We start from the raw sequence: 17,177 nt of genomic DNA, 5'->3' as shown, positions 1-17,177 counted from the left end.
GTCGTCACACACCAAAAGGGCAAATAGGAATGGAAAGTGTGAACTCTCTCCTTCAAGTCCTTTTATAAGGGCTGTAATCCCATCCATGAAGGCAGAGCCCTTACAGACTAATCACTTCTTAAAGGCCCCACTGCTTAAAACAGATTGAGCATCCCAAATCTGAAAATCCAAAATCGGAAATGTTCCAAAACCTTTTGAGTGCCAACATGATGCTCAAAGGAAATGCTCATTGGAGCAGTTCAGGTTTTGGATTTTCAGATTTGGGATGCTCAATTGATAAGTATAATGCCAATATTTCAATATCCCAAAAACACACACACACACACACACACACACACACACACACATCTGAAATCCAAAACACTTCTGGTCTTCTCCAACCATTTCAGAGAAGGGGCACTTAATGTGTACTCTTGTATTAGAGATTAAGCTTCAACTTGTATTTTGGAGGGGACACAAACATTCAAATCATAGCAATCCCGTATCTTGACTAGTGTGAATAATGTTGCAAAGAAAGTGGATGCAGGTATCTCTTCACCATACTAATTTCCTATCCTTTGGATAAATACACAGAAGTGGGATGCTAGGCCATATGGCAATTCTATTTTTAATTTTTTGAGGAACTGTCATATTGTTTTCCATAATGGCTGCACTAATTTACATTCCCATCAACAATGTACAAGGGTTCCGTTTTCTTCACATCCTCACCAACATTTATCTTTCCTTTTTTTAGTAACAGTCCTATAACAGGTGTAAAGTGGTATCTCATCGGGGCTTTAATTTGCATTTCCCTGATGATCAGAGATGTTGAGCATTTTTTCATATACATGTTGGCCAATTACATGTCTTCTTTCCAGAAATTTATGCTCAGGTCCTCAGCCCATTTTTTTAATCAAGTTGTTTTCTTGCTAGAGTTGTCTGAGTTCCTTACATATTTTGAGTATTAACCACTTTTCAGACCCATAGTTTACAAATATAGTAGTCCCCCCTTAACCACAGAGGATACATTCTGTTCTTTCTTTTGTGAGACAGAGTCTCTCTCACTGTGTCGCCCAGGCTGAGTGCAGTGGCGTGATTTCAGCTCACTGTAACCTCCACCTCCTGGGTTCAAACAATTCTTGGAGTAGCTGGGATTACAGGTGCATGCCACCACACCTGGCTAATTTCTGTATTTTTAGTGGAGACGGTGTTTTGTCATGTTGCCTAGGCTGGTCTCATATCTCTGGCCTCAAGGGATCCACCCACCTTGGCCTCCCAAAGTGCTGGGATTACAGGCGTGAGCCACCATGCTCAGCCCACAGAGGATATACTGTAAAACTCCCAGTGGATGCCTAAAACCTCGTGTAGTACCAAAGTCTATATGGGTCTATACTGTTTTTCCTATACTTCTATACTTGCCATAAAGTTCAATTTATAAATTAAGCACAGTAAGAGATTAACAACAATACTAATAATAAAAGAGAACAATTAGAACAATAAATAGTAATAAAAGTTATGTGAATGTTTATTTCTGAAAATTTCCATTTAATATTTTCAGACCACAGTTGACCACAAAAAGCAAAACTGAAGGGTGGATTACTGTAATATTCTTCCATTCCATGGGCTGTCTTTTCACTCTGTTGACTGCTTCCTTTGTTGTGTAGAAGCTTTTTAGCTTGATGTAATCCCTCTTGTCCATTTTGCTTTTGTTGCCTGTGTTTTTGGAGTCATAACTAAAAAATCTCTGCCCAGATCAATGTCATGGAACTATATTTTCTTCTAGTATTTTTACAGTTTCAGGTCCTATGTTTAAGTCTTTAAGCCATTTTAAGTTGATTTTTGTATATGGTGTGACATGAAGGTCTAGTTTCATTCTTCTGGGCTGGGCACGGTAGCTCATGCCTGTAATCCCAACACTTTGAGAGGCTGGGGCAGGAGGATCACTTGGGCCTAGAAGTTCAAGACCAGCATGGGCAACACAGTAAGACCCCATCTCTATCTAAAAACAAAAAATTCATTCTTCTGCATGTGGATATCCAGTTTTCCTCCTCAAAAACCTGTCTTTGATCTATAAAAAGAACTAAGAGAAGATATTGCTCCAAGATACTAGTAGAAGATGCTATTTTAAAATTACATTCAGAAAACAAAACCAAAAAAACACAGCTCTTAGAAATCAAAATAGCAAAAATTAAAAACTTAATATAAGAAATTCCTGTTTCCGGCCGGGCGTCGTGGCTCACGCCTGTAATCCCAGCACTCTGGGAGGCTGAGGCGGCAGATCATGAGGTCAGGAGGTCGAGACCATCCTGGTTAGCACGGTGAAACCCTGTCTCTACTAAAAACTCAAAAAATTAGCCAGGCGTGGTGGCGGGCGCCTGTAGTCCCAGCTACTCGGGAGGCTGAGGCAGGAGAATGGTGTGAACCCAGGAGGCAGAGCTTGCAGTGAGCCAAGATCGTGCCACTGCACTCCAGCCTGAGCAACAGAGTGTGACTCCATCTCAAAAAAAATTAATAATAATAATAATAATAAATGAAATAAAAAATAAATAAAATAAAATAAAAAATAAATTCCTGTTTCCAGTAATGGTGGGCTAAGTTATCTGGGTCAACTATCACTATTTAACTTAATAAAAAATCTGGATAAAATATATATCAAAATTTTTAAATCATCAAAGATAAGCCAAGAAACGTGAAGTAAAAAGGAGAATCCAGAAAGGTAAAAGAGCACATAAGCTACTCTTGCCCTGAGGATGTTTGCCAATCTTGAAAAATTAGAATCACTGTTTTGCTAGTCTAGCAAGAGATACAGGGGAAAAAAATCAAAATCCAACAACCACACAAGGGAACTGCACATTTTAAAACTAGTTTAAGGTAGTCCCAGACCAGTAATGACCCCAAGCAAATGGCAGAAGAAAACACAAATTCTATACATAAAATAGAACATTGCAACTAACCACGGAAGGATGAGTCTCACAGATACCAAGGAAGAAGATGCAAAATGGAAGAAAACAGATGTTAAAAAGGAAGAAGGTGCAAAAGAGTACTTACCATACGGTATCATTTATATGAAATTTTAAAACCTACAAAAGTAATCAATGGTGATACAATTCAGAATAGTGGTTGGAGGTCAGACGCAGTGGCTCACACTTGTAATCCCCAGTGCTTTGGGAGGCTGAGGCAGATGGATCACTTGAGCCCAGAAGATCCCAGCCTGGGCAATATGGCTAAACGCTATCTCTACAAAAAATACAAATATTAGCTGGGTGTGGTGGCAAGCACCTGTAGTCCTGCTACTCAGGAGGCTGAGGATGGAGGATCACCTGAGCCAGGTAGGTCGAGGCTGCAGTAAGCTGTGATGGCACCACTGCACTCCAGCCTGGGCTATGGAAGTGAGACCCTGTCTCAAAAAAGATAAGAAAGAAAAGCAATTGGCATATATTAAGCACTCAAATTTGTTGAATCAATAGAGGGATTCAGTGGCTTGTCATCCCCTGTAAATACTCCCCCAAAAGCAACGATTTTTTTTTTTTTTGAGACAGGGTCTTGCTCTATCACCCAAGCTAAAGTGCAGAGGCAGATACCAGCTCACTGCAGCCTCGACTCCTGGGCTCAGGTGATCCTCCCGCCTCAGCCTCCTGAGTAGCTGGGACTACAGGTGCCCACCACCACGCCCAGCTTATTTTTGCTTTTTTTTTTTTTTTTTTTTTGGTAGAGAAGGGGTTTCACCATCTTGCCCAGGCTGGTTTCTCTGGGTTCAAGAGCTCCACCCACCCTGGTCTCCCAAAGTGCTGGAATTACAAGCATGAGCAGCTGCACCTGGCTCCTTTTCTATAAATTGGGTGTGCAGCAAGGACACAGCAAAAACAAAACAGATATCCTTTACTCCCTAAAAACAACAAAATTATGATGTACCAAAAATAGAAAAATCTCACTCTATACACTGATTCTTTTCAAACTATAACAAGTATACAAATACTAGTATTTCCCGTCTTTCATGAGATATTTGTAAAGTCTGCTGATTAGTTATTTATCAAGAACTTAAGGAAAAAATGCCCCAATTGCCAAACATGAATAACTAATTTGGATTCAACATGGACACTTTACATAAACTTTTATCCTTGTTATTAGAGATTTTTTTTCTTGGGCTCCATACAGATTCTAAATGCTGACTCCCACATTACAAAAAGCAGTCAGACATTATTTTTCCTTGGAGATAGTGTCTCATTATATTGCCCAGGCTGGACTCATTCCTGGGCTCAAGCGATCTTCCTGCCTCAACCTCCCAAATAGTTGAGACTAGAGGGGTGTACCCCCATGCCCAGGTAGATAACATCTCACAATGCCCGACGGCATCCCCCTATAGTATAAAAGAGGTTTCAAAGAACTAGTCAATGAAAATTCTGTAAAACCAATCATAGAAGTTAATACAACTTATTTTGGGAAAAAAAGGAAAATGCCGAAAGGCACAGATGACAATATTAAAATTATCTGTAACACTAACAGATTACTTTTATTATTTTTAAAGCACAATTTGCAGTTTTAAAGCATTTATCATTGTCATCAATTAGAAGGTGATATTTCAAATATTCTAAAATATTTTCTTATTAGAATACTCTTAGTACATAAATCAGCTCATGAAACTAGGAATTAAAGCAGAAGAGTGGGGATCTAAACTAACTGCATTTTTCCCAGTGAACACCCTCTCACCTCCAGAAAAAGCACTGATATTTAAACTGATATAGAAGTAAAAATATAGTTGTCCACCAGCATTGGTATTCGCCATGGATGCTCAAGTCCCTTATAAAATGGCATGTGGCATAGAGCCAGGCACAGTGGCTCATGCCTGTAATCCCAGTACTTTGGGAGGCTGAGGGAGGAAAGTCACTTGAGGCCAGGAGTTCACGACCAGACTGAGCAATACAGCGAGACCTTGTCTCTACAAAAGATACATTAGCTAGGTATGGTGGCACATGCCTGGAGTCCTAGCTACTTGAGAGGTTGACGCAGGAGGATCGCTTGAGCCCAGGAGTTTGAGGCTGCGGTGAGCTATGACTGTGCCACTGCACTCCAGCAAAATAAACAGGCCAGGTGGGGTGGCTCACGCCGCTAATCCCAGCACTCTGGGAGGCCGAGGCGGGTGGACCACGAGGTCAGGAGATCGAGACCATCCTGGATAACATGGGGAAATCCCGTCTCTACTAAAAATACAAAAAATTAGCCAGGCGTGGTGGTGGGCGCCTATAGTCTCTGCTACTCGGAAGGCTGAGGCAGGAGAATGGCATGAACCCATGAGGCAGAGCTTGCAGTGAGCCAAGATCACACCACTGCACTCCAGCCTGGGCGACAGAGCGAGACTCCGTCTCAAAAATAAATAAATAAATAAATAAATAAATAAATAAAAATAAAACAGCACAGTATATGCACATAACCCACATAACCTACACACATCGTCCCATATATTTTAAGTCATCTCTAGACTGCTTATACCTAATACAATGTAAATGATATGTGTAAATAGTTGTTATGCTGTATTGTTTTTAGATCTGTATTATTTTTATTGTTGTATGATTGTTTTAATTAGTATTTCCAGTCCATGGTTGGTTGAATCCACAGACGTGGAAATCAAATGATATGGAGGGCCTACAGTATACAGTCACAGATAAAGGGAAAATAAAAAACAATATAAACGAGCTGTAGTAATAATATATATTTAAAAATAAAACTAATTTCAAATTAGTAACATATTATTAAAGGAAATAACATCCTTCAAATATTCTTGCAGCGGCGCTAAAATAAATACACTTTCATCTTCTAAAACCCAGAGGTATTCCCCTCCTGCCACCAAAGTATTCAGAAGCAAGAGGTAATCCCTTCTACCAATAAACTAAGATTTTCTTCTGTGAATTTTTAAATGGTCTGAAAAGTGGTTTGATTATATACAAATGTGTAACTACACACACACACACACACACAGACACACCCATACACACACACAAGAGGTTCATGAATCAAGCAATCAGCCAGACCAACCTCTTTGCCTGCCTGGTTCCAGTCTACCCTTCATCACTACTTTCAGACATTGTGCACTCAAATTCAAGTCAAACGCAACACTAGACTCAGGTCAGTCCAACAAACATTTATTAAAGACCCTACTAATGTCAGGCTAATCCAGGCAGGATACAGCAATGAATCAGACAATGAATAAGCAATGAGTAAGACACAATATCTGCCCTCTAGGAACCTGTCAGGAACCCCCACCTGCATAACCCTTCTTATTCCAAAACCTAGGTCAAATGACAGTCTTCCTAAAGATTTTCCTGTGATACCTAGAATGAAAAGTCACTTTTCATAGCCCTAAAGTCCATCTATTACTTTCTAGTTGTTTTAGGGTTGCTTTGAGGCTCATGCTGATATCTAATTGATTCTTTTAGTATGCCCCACAAAGCCTAGCTTAGTGCTGAAGCCATAATAGGCATGAAATAAACATCTGTTGAATGAACAAGCATCAGTCCTGTTTACGTGTTTCAGGTGTATTAGATAGACATGGCCTGAACTGAAATATGGAACGGCTTTCACATTCTATAGAACAAAACCTTTACATAACCTTTCCTACCAGTTTTTAATATTCTATAGATATATTCCCCAAGACAGATTTTTTTTTGCTATTGAAGTGAAAATGTTTAAAGATTGAAGATTATTAAATAAGACAGCACTTGTTGATATACACAGAAGGTATTTGACATTTATAAGCCATTACTATTTCTCTTACTATTTCCTCTCTACAAACTAGCTGACAGAGGAAAAAGTTGGTAGAATAGGTTTTTTTAAAGTTTCCAGCCAAAATCATATTTTATAGGTTTATAGGGTGGGGGAAGGAGAGAGAGCAAATATTTTAAGAAAAAGGCAAAGAAAGCAAGCAAATGGAAGTAAATGGAGTATGAGTGGCTATGCAAAGGAGATACTGGTTAGAGGCAGCTCTCTAGCTTCCAACTTATTATAGTCATTATGGAATGGTGACATAAACAGATATCTTGATACCTCTCACTCATCCTCCTTAACTAATAGCAATAACGTCTGTAATACAATGTTGAACACAACAATTTCTACCAACAAAAGGGAATGTAAGATATTTAAGTATTTATACCATGACAATTTCCCTAAGATTTGAATACACAAGAAATAACTATAATAACCGTAATATAAGGTGGTAGTCCCATAAGACAATATCCAGAATGGGTAGTCTGGAGGCATGGGGTTGATAGGAATTGGTCAACAGAGGGCATTCTGGGCAGTGGTATCAATGTAGGGAAGTATTTTGGAGTTTACAGTAAAGTTATATCATCTCAAAGCAACTCTACCTTTTGTCAGGGCAGGGCCAATATCATAAGCCTTCATAAATCTCACCAAACATAACAGTGCTTCCCAAATAATAGACACAAAATTATTGTATTTTTAAAACAAAACTGAATTCCTACAGCAGTTTCACGGCCTTTCATTTACTTTTGGAGAAGCAATTCAGTTTACATTAATAATGAATTTTCTTTGTCAACCTCCTCTAGACAAGCACCCTCCAAAAAATGTGAAGTAAAATTAAAGTCAATATTATAGACAGTCCCAGCTTCTTGAGAGCTTAAGGAAGGACGATTGTGGAGCACAGAGTTCAAGACTGGCCTGAGAATATAGCAAGACCCCATCTCTAAAAATATACATATATATTACAGATATGGTCTAACCAGTAGACTATGAGACCCAATTCCTTTGTTACAGATAAATCTATTAATGTGGCCTAAGATTTCACCAATTATTTAGGCAGTCACATTACCAAGCTATCAATCAAGTAAATTCACCAGAAATTACCTGTAGGTCTTTTCTTCCCCATCCTTTTACCATTTTACTTGACAAAAATGTTTAACCCAAGTAGTAAAACTTAACTTTATAATTTTGGTTTCAGCTTTAGACTTTCTTGAGCTGTTATCCAGATCACCTAACCTATCACCATCTACAAAGGCCTTCAGAACCCTAAAGATACACTTGCTAATTAGTAATCAATACTCTGGGTAATGCAATCAACTATTAATGCAATTGGGCAAAACATGCATGATCACCTACAAGCATTGTCTTGGTCAGTGAAAACAAAGATGAATCCAGCCTTTCTACACTCAAGGACAATCTAGTCACTTACAATGTAAATTTAAGTGCTATATAAAGTGTTATGAAGCCAAGATAATAAAGTATTAAAAGGTTAACACTGAGGATAATACATAAATTATCCACCTAATCTATCACTCAACCCACATTTTTCAGTTTCTTCCAAAAAGATATAAGCTTTGTCAAATGCATTTAGTTAATAATATGATGAAGACCGGGCACGGTGGCTCACGCCTGTAAACCCAGCACTTTGAGAGGCCGAGGCGGGCGGATCACAATGTCAGGAGTTCAAGACCAGCCTGGCCAACGTGGTGAAAACCTGTTTCTACTAAAAATACAAAAATTAGTCGGGCATGGTGGTGTGCACCTGAAATCCCAGCTACTCGGGGGGCTGAGGTGGGAGAATGGCTTGAACCAGGGAGGCTGAGGTTGCAGTGACCCGAGATCGCACCACTGCACTCCAGGCTAGGCAACAGAAGAGACTCCATCTCAAAAATAATAATAATATAAATAATATGATGAAAATAACAATGGCTTTTAAATTACACATTCTTAAACTAAGGGCCAAAGATTATATCGACCAAGAAATTAAGGCATAAAAAAGATTTATATGCACTTATAAATTAAATCAGATATTTGAATCCATCTTCTAACTACCAGACTTGTCCAGCATTTTCCTTGGGTAGCAAATTTTTCAGTAAATCATATGAATGTGAGGTGCTCAGCCATATATTTTTTTCATATTTATACACACATTCACAACCCATACACAGATTTTTTCTGTCGAACTTTAACTAGGTCCTCAAAAACTAAAAACCTATTTCTTAATAAGTAAAACTTATTTACTAAACATAGGTCTTTTCCAATCTCTAATGTCCCTATCTGTTAAAAAAAAGCTAGTAATTTCAAAATCTGTGCTTTGTGAAATTATTAATTCATATTTGGCTATCTGATCCATCCATTCTTGCTATGTAATAAAGAAATGAACACAATAAGCAATGCCTAAGATGTTACCACGCATCCTGAAGAAGTGAAGACAGTATCATCTCTTTCCTTGGTATTACCCAGAATACAATGCAAAACTGTGACTGTAGTATATATTCACTAACTTATTTACTCATTTGGAACACTAGAAATCCCTGTAAGCACAGCTCAAATTTATTACAAGTTAATTCATATCCCCTAACAACTACGCAACCAAAGTCTGACACGATCCACTCAGCACATCACTACAAAAGTCCCCCAAAGTCAGTATTAGAGCCGTTCTATTGAATTCCTTTTTTTCTCAAATTTAACATAAGACTTAAGAAGCATTAAAATAGCAATAAAAATTCCAATGATTGTTACAAGAAACAGACTCAGGTTTAAGTGCATGGCTACATATCATTTTTCTGTAACAACATATTCTCAATAATTAACTCTTTGGGACAGTAATGTGATTCTAAATATGAAATAATAGGAGAACTGGTTTCTAAATCCAAAATTTCGAGAGAATTTCCCAACCTCAAATTCCTCAATGGCAAGAGCACAGTACAGGTTGTTTGTATTACATTACAATCCATTAGAAGTATAATCCTTTTTCAAAACTGAGAACAGTAAAAAGAGGAAGCATACTCAAATTTTTCTAAGGTTTCTTCTAGTCCCAACAATAGTCCTCTACACCAAGTTCTGCTTATCTAAGTTTCAGACACCAAGTTGATATTAGTTCACTCTACATTACTTAGTTTCTAATAAATGTTTCCCTCAAATCCTCAAACTAAAAATCTTAAAATATGGAGATGTATTAAATGTTGAGAAAAATTAAAAATCTTTTTCAGAATTTCCAAAGGACACAAAGCAAATTTTAGTTAGAACAAAAATTCCCATCTCTTCTACAGTTTATCTTTTCAGATTGCTGAGAAACTCTTTAAATGCTGAAAGTAACCAAATTATAGGAGACAGTAGAGGAATGGAATCGTTTCCTTAGGTAGTACCATAAGTTTAAAAAAAAAACTTTTAAAATCACATTTTATTATTCACTAAAATGTTTTTCCTTAAAACTGTTATTCTTTAGTGTGATACAAAGTGAATTTTTTAAAAATCTTAAGAGTTAAATCTAAATAACATGCCTCCACTGTTTTCCTATGTTTACTTTTTAGAAGTATTCTACTTACATTTTAGTTTCCTTTGAAGCACAAGTCATTTAAGTAGGCAAAAGTTAAAATATTTTGTAATTATAAAAACGAATGAATGCACTCTGGTAGGCATGAAAAAAATAAAAAATTTAAAAATTTAAAATAAAACTATACCCATTTCCTTTCATTGATAATTCACTATAATCAATTATAGAATGCACAAAGTGTAAGGGAAAAAGGCCAATAATGCCTGAGAAACTAACCAATGTAAAAGAATTAAACTTTATGTAATTCATTTACCATGCAATCCTCCCCAATATAAGAACAATTAATGCTATCTAAGAAACGGAATGAAGGGGCTCCTAAGGTATTTTCTCTTGGGTGGTGTGTTTTCAGACTGGGTAAGCACTTGTACAGAATGTTGCACAAGAGATTCCTGGCTGGCTAAGTAAAGCATTCACTAGATGGACTCTAAAGTCTCACAGTTCTAAGATTCCCAATCTATGAGTAGACGTGAAAAATAAGAAAACATTTTGCCTTTCAATTAACCCATTGGCTTTCACTCCCACCCTAGCTGGGCACACACATACTCAAAAGTTATTTCTCCCCTTTCTCTGCAGTGATTTCACGAGATCCTCGCGAACAAAAGGCACGGAAAACAGGCACAGGTGGAATAAAAAGGGGAGTGGCTGAGGCCAGGCGGCTCTCGGGACAGCGCCCCCACGCCCCCAGTTCTCCCGGCCGCACCTGAGAAATCACTGCCCTCCGCACCTGAGAAATCACTGCCCTCCACACCTCGACCCTTCCGCGCCGGCGCCAGGAGCAAATTCTCCGACCTATTACCCTCCGCCCGTACCTTGGCCAGACACTGGGCATTGTCTGGAGCCTCCTGTGCCAAAGAAAGGCAAGGAGGAAAGGAAAGGAGAGAACGAAGGAGAAAGAACAAGTGAGAATAAAGAACGGAAAGGGAAGTAAAGCAACAGGGAGACCGTACGCTCCTTTTGGTAAAATTAGCTTCCTCATCGATCACTCGATTTAATTCAGCCCCCAAAACCAACCCACCAGCCCAAAGGCTGCAGCCGGGGGTGGCCAAACCGGAGTCCCTCGAAGCTGTGCCCGCCCGAAGCACTGAGGCAGGGAGAGAGAAATGTGCGTGTGGGCTGGGCCTGGCTGGCCCGAGGCCGGGCTCCGAACAAAGCCGCCTGGGTCCCCATACCTGGGGCGAGGGCTCTGGGCGGCGCCGCCCCAGACGGGCGACGCCCTAGCCCCGCGGACCTGGCCCGGGCGAGGAATCGCGGCCGGTCCCCTCCCCGCCCTCGAACAGCGCCCCTTGGGGACAATGGGCCCCCTCCCCCGCCTCCGGGAGGAGAGATACAAAGGAAGAGAGGAGCCGCCGGGCGCGAAGCCAGGCGTCGGGAAAAGTGAAGGTGGAGGAGGGAGAAGGAACAAGAGGGGATCACGGCGCACGCAGGAGCCCGCGGGCTGCTCCCCCGGCCGTCCCGGGCGCCGCCCGAGCTGCACCACGGCGGCAAAGGCGGGAGCACGGACTAGCGGCCCCCTAGACCCCCGGCCGAGAAGGGAAGAGGAGTCTGCACACAAAGACGAGCGGGACCCTCACCCTCCGCCAGCGCCGGACCGAGGACGGCGGAGCGCGCTTTCACCGCCGAGGGTCCGCGGCGCCCGCCCAACCCGCGCTTCTCAGGGGCCGGGGTCCGTGCGGGGCGCCCCTCTCCCCGACTCACCCACAGCTCCGTGCCCCAGCTCATGGCGGAACTTTCTGGCCGTCTGGCGGTGCCGCTGTCCTTCAGTCTGTCGGCTCCACAGTCTGTCCGACCTCTCACTCGCTGGCCGGCGGGCTAGCAGCTCAGCGGGTCTACCTCGAAAGGTGCCGCCACCGCCGGGCTCCCCAGTGAGTGAGAAAGACGCGACTGGAGAAGCCTCCGCCGCCGACGCGTCCCCGCCTCCCCGCGCTGGGCGGGAGGGGGCCGGGGCCGAGGGGAGGCGGAACGCGGCGCGGGGAGGGGGCGGGGCGCAGTGCATCCTGGGATCGGGGAGGACCTGGGCTAGCCTGGCCACCGCCGGCGGGGTCCCCAAGCGGGCACCTGGTCACCCTCGCTGGCCCCTCTCGCTGGTCGAGTCTCCTCCTGCAGGTACCCCGGAGCTTGGACTGCCCCCACTCCGCTGCCAGTCGGACCCCTGTTTCCAAGATAGAAAGGGAGAGAAGGGAAAAGACCCCCACCGCCGCTATTATCTCATTCCTCCTCTGCGCTGAGCCCCTTTACATGAGGCAATTTTAGTTACCTGCCTTTCCTGCCTCTTGTCTCCTCCACTCGGGAGAAACCTTGACAGGGAAGCGTCATCCAAATCCTAGAGTTTAGACTGAGGAGAGTTGTGTTTTATTTTTTTAAATCTTGATGCTTAAGGTGATCTCTCCTTTCAAGCCTGATGCTTTGGCATGACGATTCTTGGGAACCACCAAAATGTGCACAGGTTGAACAGCAAATGTGAAGGCAACATGTCCCCGATTCTGTCTTTAATTAAATATTTTAATTTTATAAATTCTGTCAGGAAATTATAAAAAGAGGCAGCTCTTCCAGTAATCATTTAGGTATGTTGCCAGCGCACGAGATGGAAGACGTGGACAAATGTGAGCCGAGCTGTCACCTGCGGAAGATGAGAAGGCAGCTTGCCCCATGTCTGGAATGGGCACCTCGTGGGTGAGGGTTGGATGGGAGCCAGATTTTTCTCTGGTAGTGTAAACAGCTTATTCGGAACTTCAGATCTCTTTCACCTCCCAGTATCGGAACCTTGGAGGCAGGTCCACTACTTCCTTTTTTCTCTATGGAGCTACTTCCTGGCCTATCTCCATGGAAAGGCTGTTAGCTAGTTTGGCTGGTGCTACTAGATATCAAGTACGCTGAGCAACTCCCTAACATATGCTTTAGTATTAATAGCTTGTCTCCTAAAGCAAGCAAGCGCACACACACACACTTCAAAACAGTCAACTAGTAGAGTACTCCTCAGTGCGTCATGACAGCTGGGTGTTTTAGGAAGCTCTCCCAACGGGTTCTTTGTCAGCATTGAAACTCCTCCCCTACCTGGCCTGGACAGGTGTTCCAACCTCTTCCGCTTAATCCGTATTCTTTTGCCTAGCTGCGCTCCCTCTTGGAGTTGAGGCCAACAGCCTGAGTTCGCCTGACAGTCCAGTTGCTAATCTTCCTAAATTCTCTGCTGTCCTTTTCTGAGGCCACTTTAAGCATACAAATGCCCTCTTCCAAGTGGGTTATAGCCAATTTTTAAATGCTTAACTTTGTACCATGCAGTGAAAAGCCTGTGAAGGATTGAACAACACTTTCTAACATTTTTCTACATTGCCTCTATTCCAAAATAATTTCTTCGTTTATTTATGTCACCTAACACTGTTAACCGCCTCTCCCATCACTTCCTATCACTCCCTAGAATCATGAATGTATTTTGCAATTGCAAGTAACATTAATTAGTAAGGGGAAATGGATTTTTTTTTTTTTGAGACGGCGTTTCACTCTTGTCACCCAGCCTGGAGTGCAGTGGCGCGATCTCGGCTCACTGCAACCTCCACCCCCCAGGTTCAAGCAATTCTCCTGCCTCAACCTCCCGAGTAGCTAGGATTACAGGCGCCTGCCACCACGCCCAGCTAAATTTTGTGTTTTTAGTGGAGATAGGTTTTCACCATGTTGGCCGGTCTGGTCTCGAACTCCTGATCTCAAGTGATCTGCCCCCCTCAGCCTCTCAAAGTGCTGGGATTATAGGCGTGAGCCACTGCGCCCAGCTGGGAAATGGATTTATTAAATGGGTGTCATTATTTAGCACCACAGCAATACCAAGATTTATTATATCTAAGTATTGTCATAAAAGCTAAGACCTATAGAATATAATTTAAACCCAAGTTAAAGGATTTATCTTTTTTTTTTTTTTTTTTTTTTTTTTTTCTGAAACAGAGTCTTGCTTTGTTGCCCAGCAGTGCAGTATTGCCATCTGGGCTCACTGCAACCTTCACCTTTCCAGCTCAAGCAATTCACCTGCCTTAGCCTCCCAAGTAGCTGGGAGTACAGGTGCTCACCACCACACCTGGCTAATTTTTTGGATTTTTTTGTAAAGATGGGGTTTTGCCATTGGTGCCCAGGCTGGTCTTGAACCCCTGGGCTCAAGAGATCCAACCCCCTCAGCCTCCCAAAGTTTTGGGATTACAGGCCGTGAGCCACCACGCCCAGTGAGGATTTCCCTTTAAAGTAAAATAATCTACTGTTCACATTAAAATTTTCAACCGTGCTGTTTATGTAATTTCCCAAATGAACATAAAGCTCACCTCCTACATGAAGACTTTTTCTTCTTCCAAGGTTCTGAAGCAGGATTCCACAATTAAAACAATTCATTTCTCTTCAAAAAGCTAGATTTGGGGGCATCAAGGGTTTTCTTATTTGTTTTTGTTTTGAGACAAGGTCTCCTAATGTCCTGGAGACGTTAGGAGTGGCTGGAGTGCAGTGGCACCATCATAGCTCACTGCAGCCTTGACCTCCCAGACTCAAGTGATCCTCCCACCTCAGCCTCCTGAGTAGCTAGGACCACAGGCACACAACCACACCTGGCTAATTTTATTTATGTATTTATTTTTATTTATTTATTTATTTTTGTAGAGACAGAGGTCTCACAATGTTGCCCAGGTTGGTCTCAAATTCCTGGACTCAAGTGATCCTCCTACCTCAGCCTCCCAAAGTGATGGGATTACAGGAGTGAGCCACTGCACCCAGCCCTGCATCAAGTTGTAATATTCAAATTTAAATAAAATTTCTGTTACCCTCCATTACTATAAAATTTTTAATATAATTCATATTACCACCTTAAATAATCTCTTCTAAAGAATTATTTGTAATTTATAAAATTCTTTCATGACATTAAAAGTCACTGGTTCAACGATGTTTAAGCAAAAACAATTAAAAAGTGAAAACTTTCACAATAAAGAAATAAATGTTTAGTGTTATACTTTGTTAAAAAAATAATAAAGATTAATCAGATTTCAAAGTATTTCCTATTAGAACAAATCCTCTCTAAAATAGCATATAGGCATTTTAGCCAACAAACATGCAGATATTTTACATACACATAGTCACATACACAAATGTATATTATCAGTATGGCAGTTTATAAGACATTTATGATTTTTCACATAATCAAAATCATTTTGGCATTAAATTATTTTTACAGATAACTTATTCTTTATAGACTCATGACAAGGCATTTTGTAAGCAGTTCAAGCACAGAATTTTTATCTCTAAAAATGTTAAAACTGGCCAGGTACAGTGGCTCATGCCCGTAATCCTAGCACTTTGGAAGCCTGAAGTGGGAGGATTGCTTGAGGTCAATAGTTTAAGACCAACCCAGCCAACAAAGCAAGACCCCATCTCTTATTTTAAAAAATTAAAGTAAATTAAATTTAAAATGTTAAAACATAACTTTCAGAATCGTGAAAGAAATATCTCTTTATTATAGTAGAAATCTAATATTAATTTATTCCAGATGCTACCTCTATATCATAATTTTAATAATTAAATGTAAAAATCTTCAAACCAATTATACTTTTTTGCTACTTGACCTATCTTGGCAATCAATCACCACATAGTTTCGATTTCATATTACATAATTTATAAGGTAATAATACTAAGAAACAAAAGAATGATATTGTTCTATTTTCTCCATATACAATGAAGCTACTCTACAAGTAAACTTGAAAGGGCTTAAATTACAAAGGTGCTTTAGCAATTTAAACAATTATTACAATGTATCTTTTTATTATGAAAAATAACTTATTGAATGCATTTTCTTTTCAGGCATATCATAGAACTCTGGTCTATAATAATCCATTAAAGTGTTTTCTTTTGCATATATTATCATGTAGCAATTCAAATGCAAATTCCTTTTATAATTTCTTTATGTTATAAACATTTAGCTAATGCCCTTTCTGGTTTCAAATATTCCCTTCATGAATCCTTTATTAAGGCAAAATATGAAACAAGGTTTTTTCACTGCTGCTTTCTGGGATATATAATAATTTACTAGTCCAAGAACATCAACTTTCAACCATAAATCAATCCCTTGTCATTTGAAAATCTTAAGACATTGTCTTAAAATTAAAGCTACAGAGACAATGTCCAGAAATAAAATTATCCTCCAAGTAGCTAGGCCAGAACAACCAAGCTAAAACTACCTTAAGGAAGAAAATCAAAGAGCAGTACCATTTTAATGTTTCAAAAATGGGATCACACTAGCATGCTGAGTCCATGCCAGCCAAATGAAGAATGGCACTGGCTAGTTAATAGTCATCACTACTTTCTGTACTGCCAGTTTTCCTACCCAAGAATTGGAAGAAATCCAAAACTTCAAGGGCATTGCTCAAGGTGGCTCCCTGAAGAAAGAAAGAAAGAGAGAGGGGAAAAAAGTGAGAGGGAGACAGAGAGGCCATTTTATATTTTTTGGAATTCTACTCACCATTATTGAATCTAGTTAAAGCATTTCATGTAATTGCTCTAGTGAAATGTGGAAAAACAAAAAAAAATTCTATATAAATCAAACAGAATAGACGTGTTTAAAGAGGTAACTTATGTCTACTTTTCTACATTGGTTGGATTTTTCCCACTGCATTATGATAGAACTGTGTAACTTTAAAAACGTTTAGGTATTTGTTTATATTAAATTTTCTTCAGGGCAGGAGACCTGGTAGAACAAAAGTTATAGTTTTCTCTAGGTGTTGGTTGTACTTTCCCAAACCCGTTCAAAATTTATATTAATTTCTTAAAGTATTCCTATTTTTTTTCTTGTTGTTGAGTTTTGTTTGTTTGGAAATTTTTTGGCATGTGATAAAAATTTTCAAGATATGCACACCAGTTAACAAAGAACAAACAT

The 17,177-nt window shown here is 40.4% G+C and overlaps 1 protein-coding gene across 3 annotated transcripts in view, besides 5 other annotated features; it reads right to left on the bottom strand.

Moving 5' to 3' along the window:
• Positions 1 to 12,171, bottom strand: part of FNBP1L (formin binding protein 1 like) — a 106,544-nt gene extending 94,373 nt beyond the window's left edge. For all 3 annotated transcript variants that reach the window (NM_001164473.3, NM_001024948.3, NM_017737.5), the window contains exon 1: positions 11,984 to 12,171. In NM_001164473.3, coding sequence (NP_001157945.1) covers positions 11,984 to 12,007 — 24 coding nt within the window. In that variant the 5' untranslated portion in view covers positions 12,008 to 12,171. The remainder of the gene's footprint in view (positions 1 to 11,983) is intronic.
• Positions 4,561 to 5,079: an enhancer, noted in NCBI's record as "H3K27ac-H3K4me1 hESC enhancer chr1:93920767-93921285 (GRCh37/hg19 assembly coordinates)". NCBI's record gives its function as "activates a minimal SCP1, AML or CMV promoter by ChIP-STARR-seq in naive H9 embryonic stem cells {active_cell/tissue: H9 hESC(naive)}" and the evidence as "EXISTENCE:reporter gene assay evidence [ECO:0000049][PMID:30033119]".
• Positions 5,080 to 5,599: an enhancer, noted in NCBI's record as "H3K27ac-H3K4me1 hESC enhancer chr1:93920247-93920766 (GRCh37/hg19 assembly coordinates)". NCBI's record gives its function as "activates a minimal SCP1, AML or CMV promoter by ChIP-STARR-seq in naive H9 embryonic stem cells {active_cell/tissue: H9 hESC(naive)}" and the evidence as "EXISTENCE:reporter gene assay evidence [ECO:0000049][PMID:30033119]".
• Positions 11,544 to 12,522: an enhancer, noted in NCBI's record as "NANOG-H3K27ac-H3K4me1 hESC enhancer chr1:93913324-93914302 (GRCh37/hg19 assembly coordinates)". NCBI's record gives its function as "activates a minimal SCP1, AML or CMV promoter by ChIP-STARR-seq in naive H9 embryonic stem cells {active_cell/tissue: H9 hESC(naive)}" and the evidence as "EXISTENCE:reporter gene assay evidence [ECO:0000049][PMID:30033119]".
• Positions 12,014 to 12,063: a silencer, noted in NCBI's record as "silent region_1083". NCBI's record gives its function as "represses an Ori minimal core promoter by ATAC-STARR-seq in GM12878 lymphoblastoid cells {active_cell/tissue: GM12878}" and the evidence as "EXISTENCE:reporter gene assay evidence [ECO:0000049][PMID:35858748]".
• Positions 13,003 to 13,297: a silencer, noted in NCBI's record as "tiled region #11866; HepG2 Repressive non-DNase unmatched - State 1:Tss". NCBI's record gives its function as "represses a minimal TATA promoter and a strong SV40 promoter by Sharpr-MPRA in HepG2 cells {active_cell/tissue: HepG2}" and the evidence as "EXISTENCE:reporter gene assay evidence [ECO:0000049][PMID:27701403]".

This window comes from Homo sapiens, chromosome 1 (assembly GCF_000001405.40).
Source record: "Homo sapiens chromosome 1, GRCh38.p14 Primary Assembly".
NCBI classification, from domain to species: domain Eukaryota; kingdom Metazoa; phylum Chordata; class Mammalia; order Primates; family Hominidae; genus Homo; species Homo sapiens.
The sequence above is the reverse complement of the archived record's forward strand: the minus strand, read 5'-3'. Positions and strand labels throughout refer to the sequence as shown.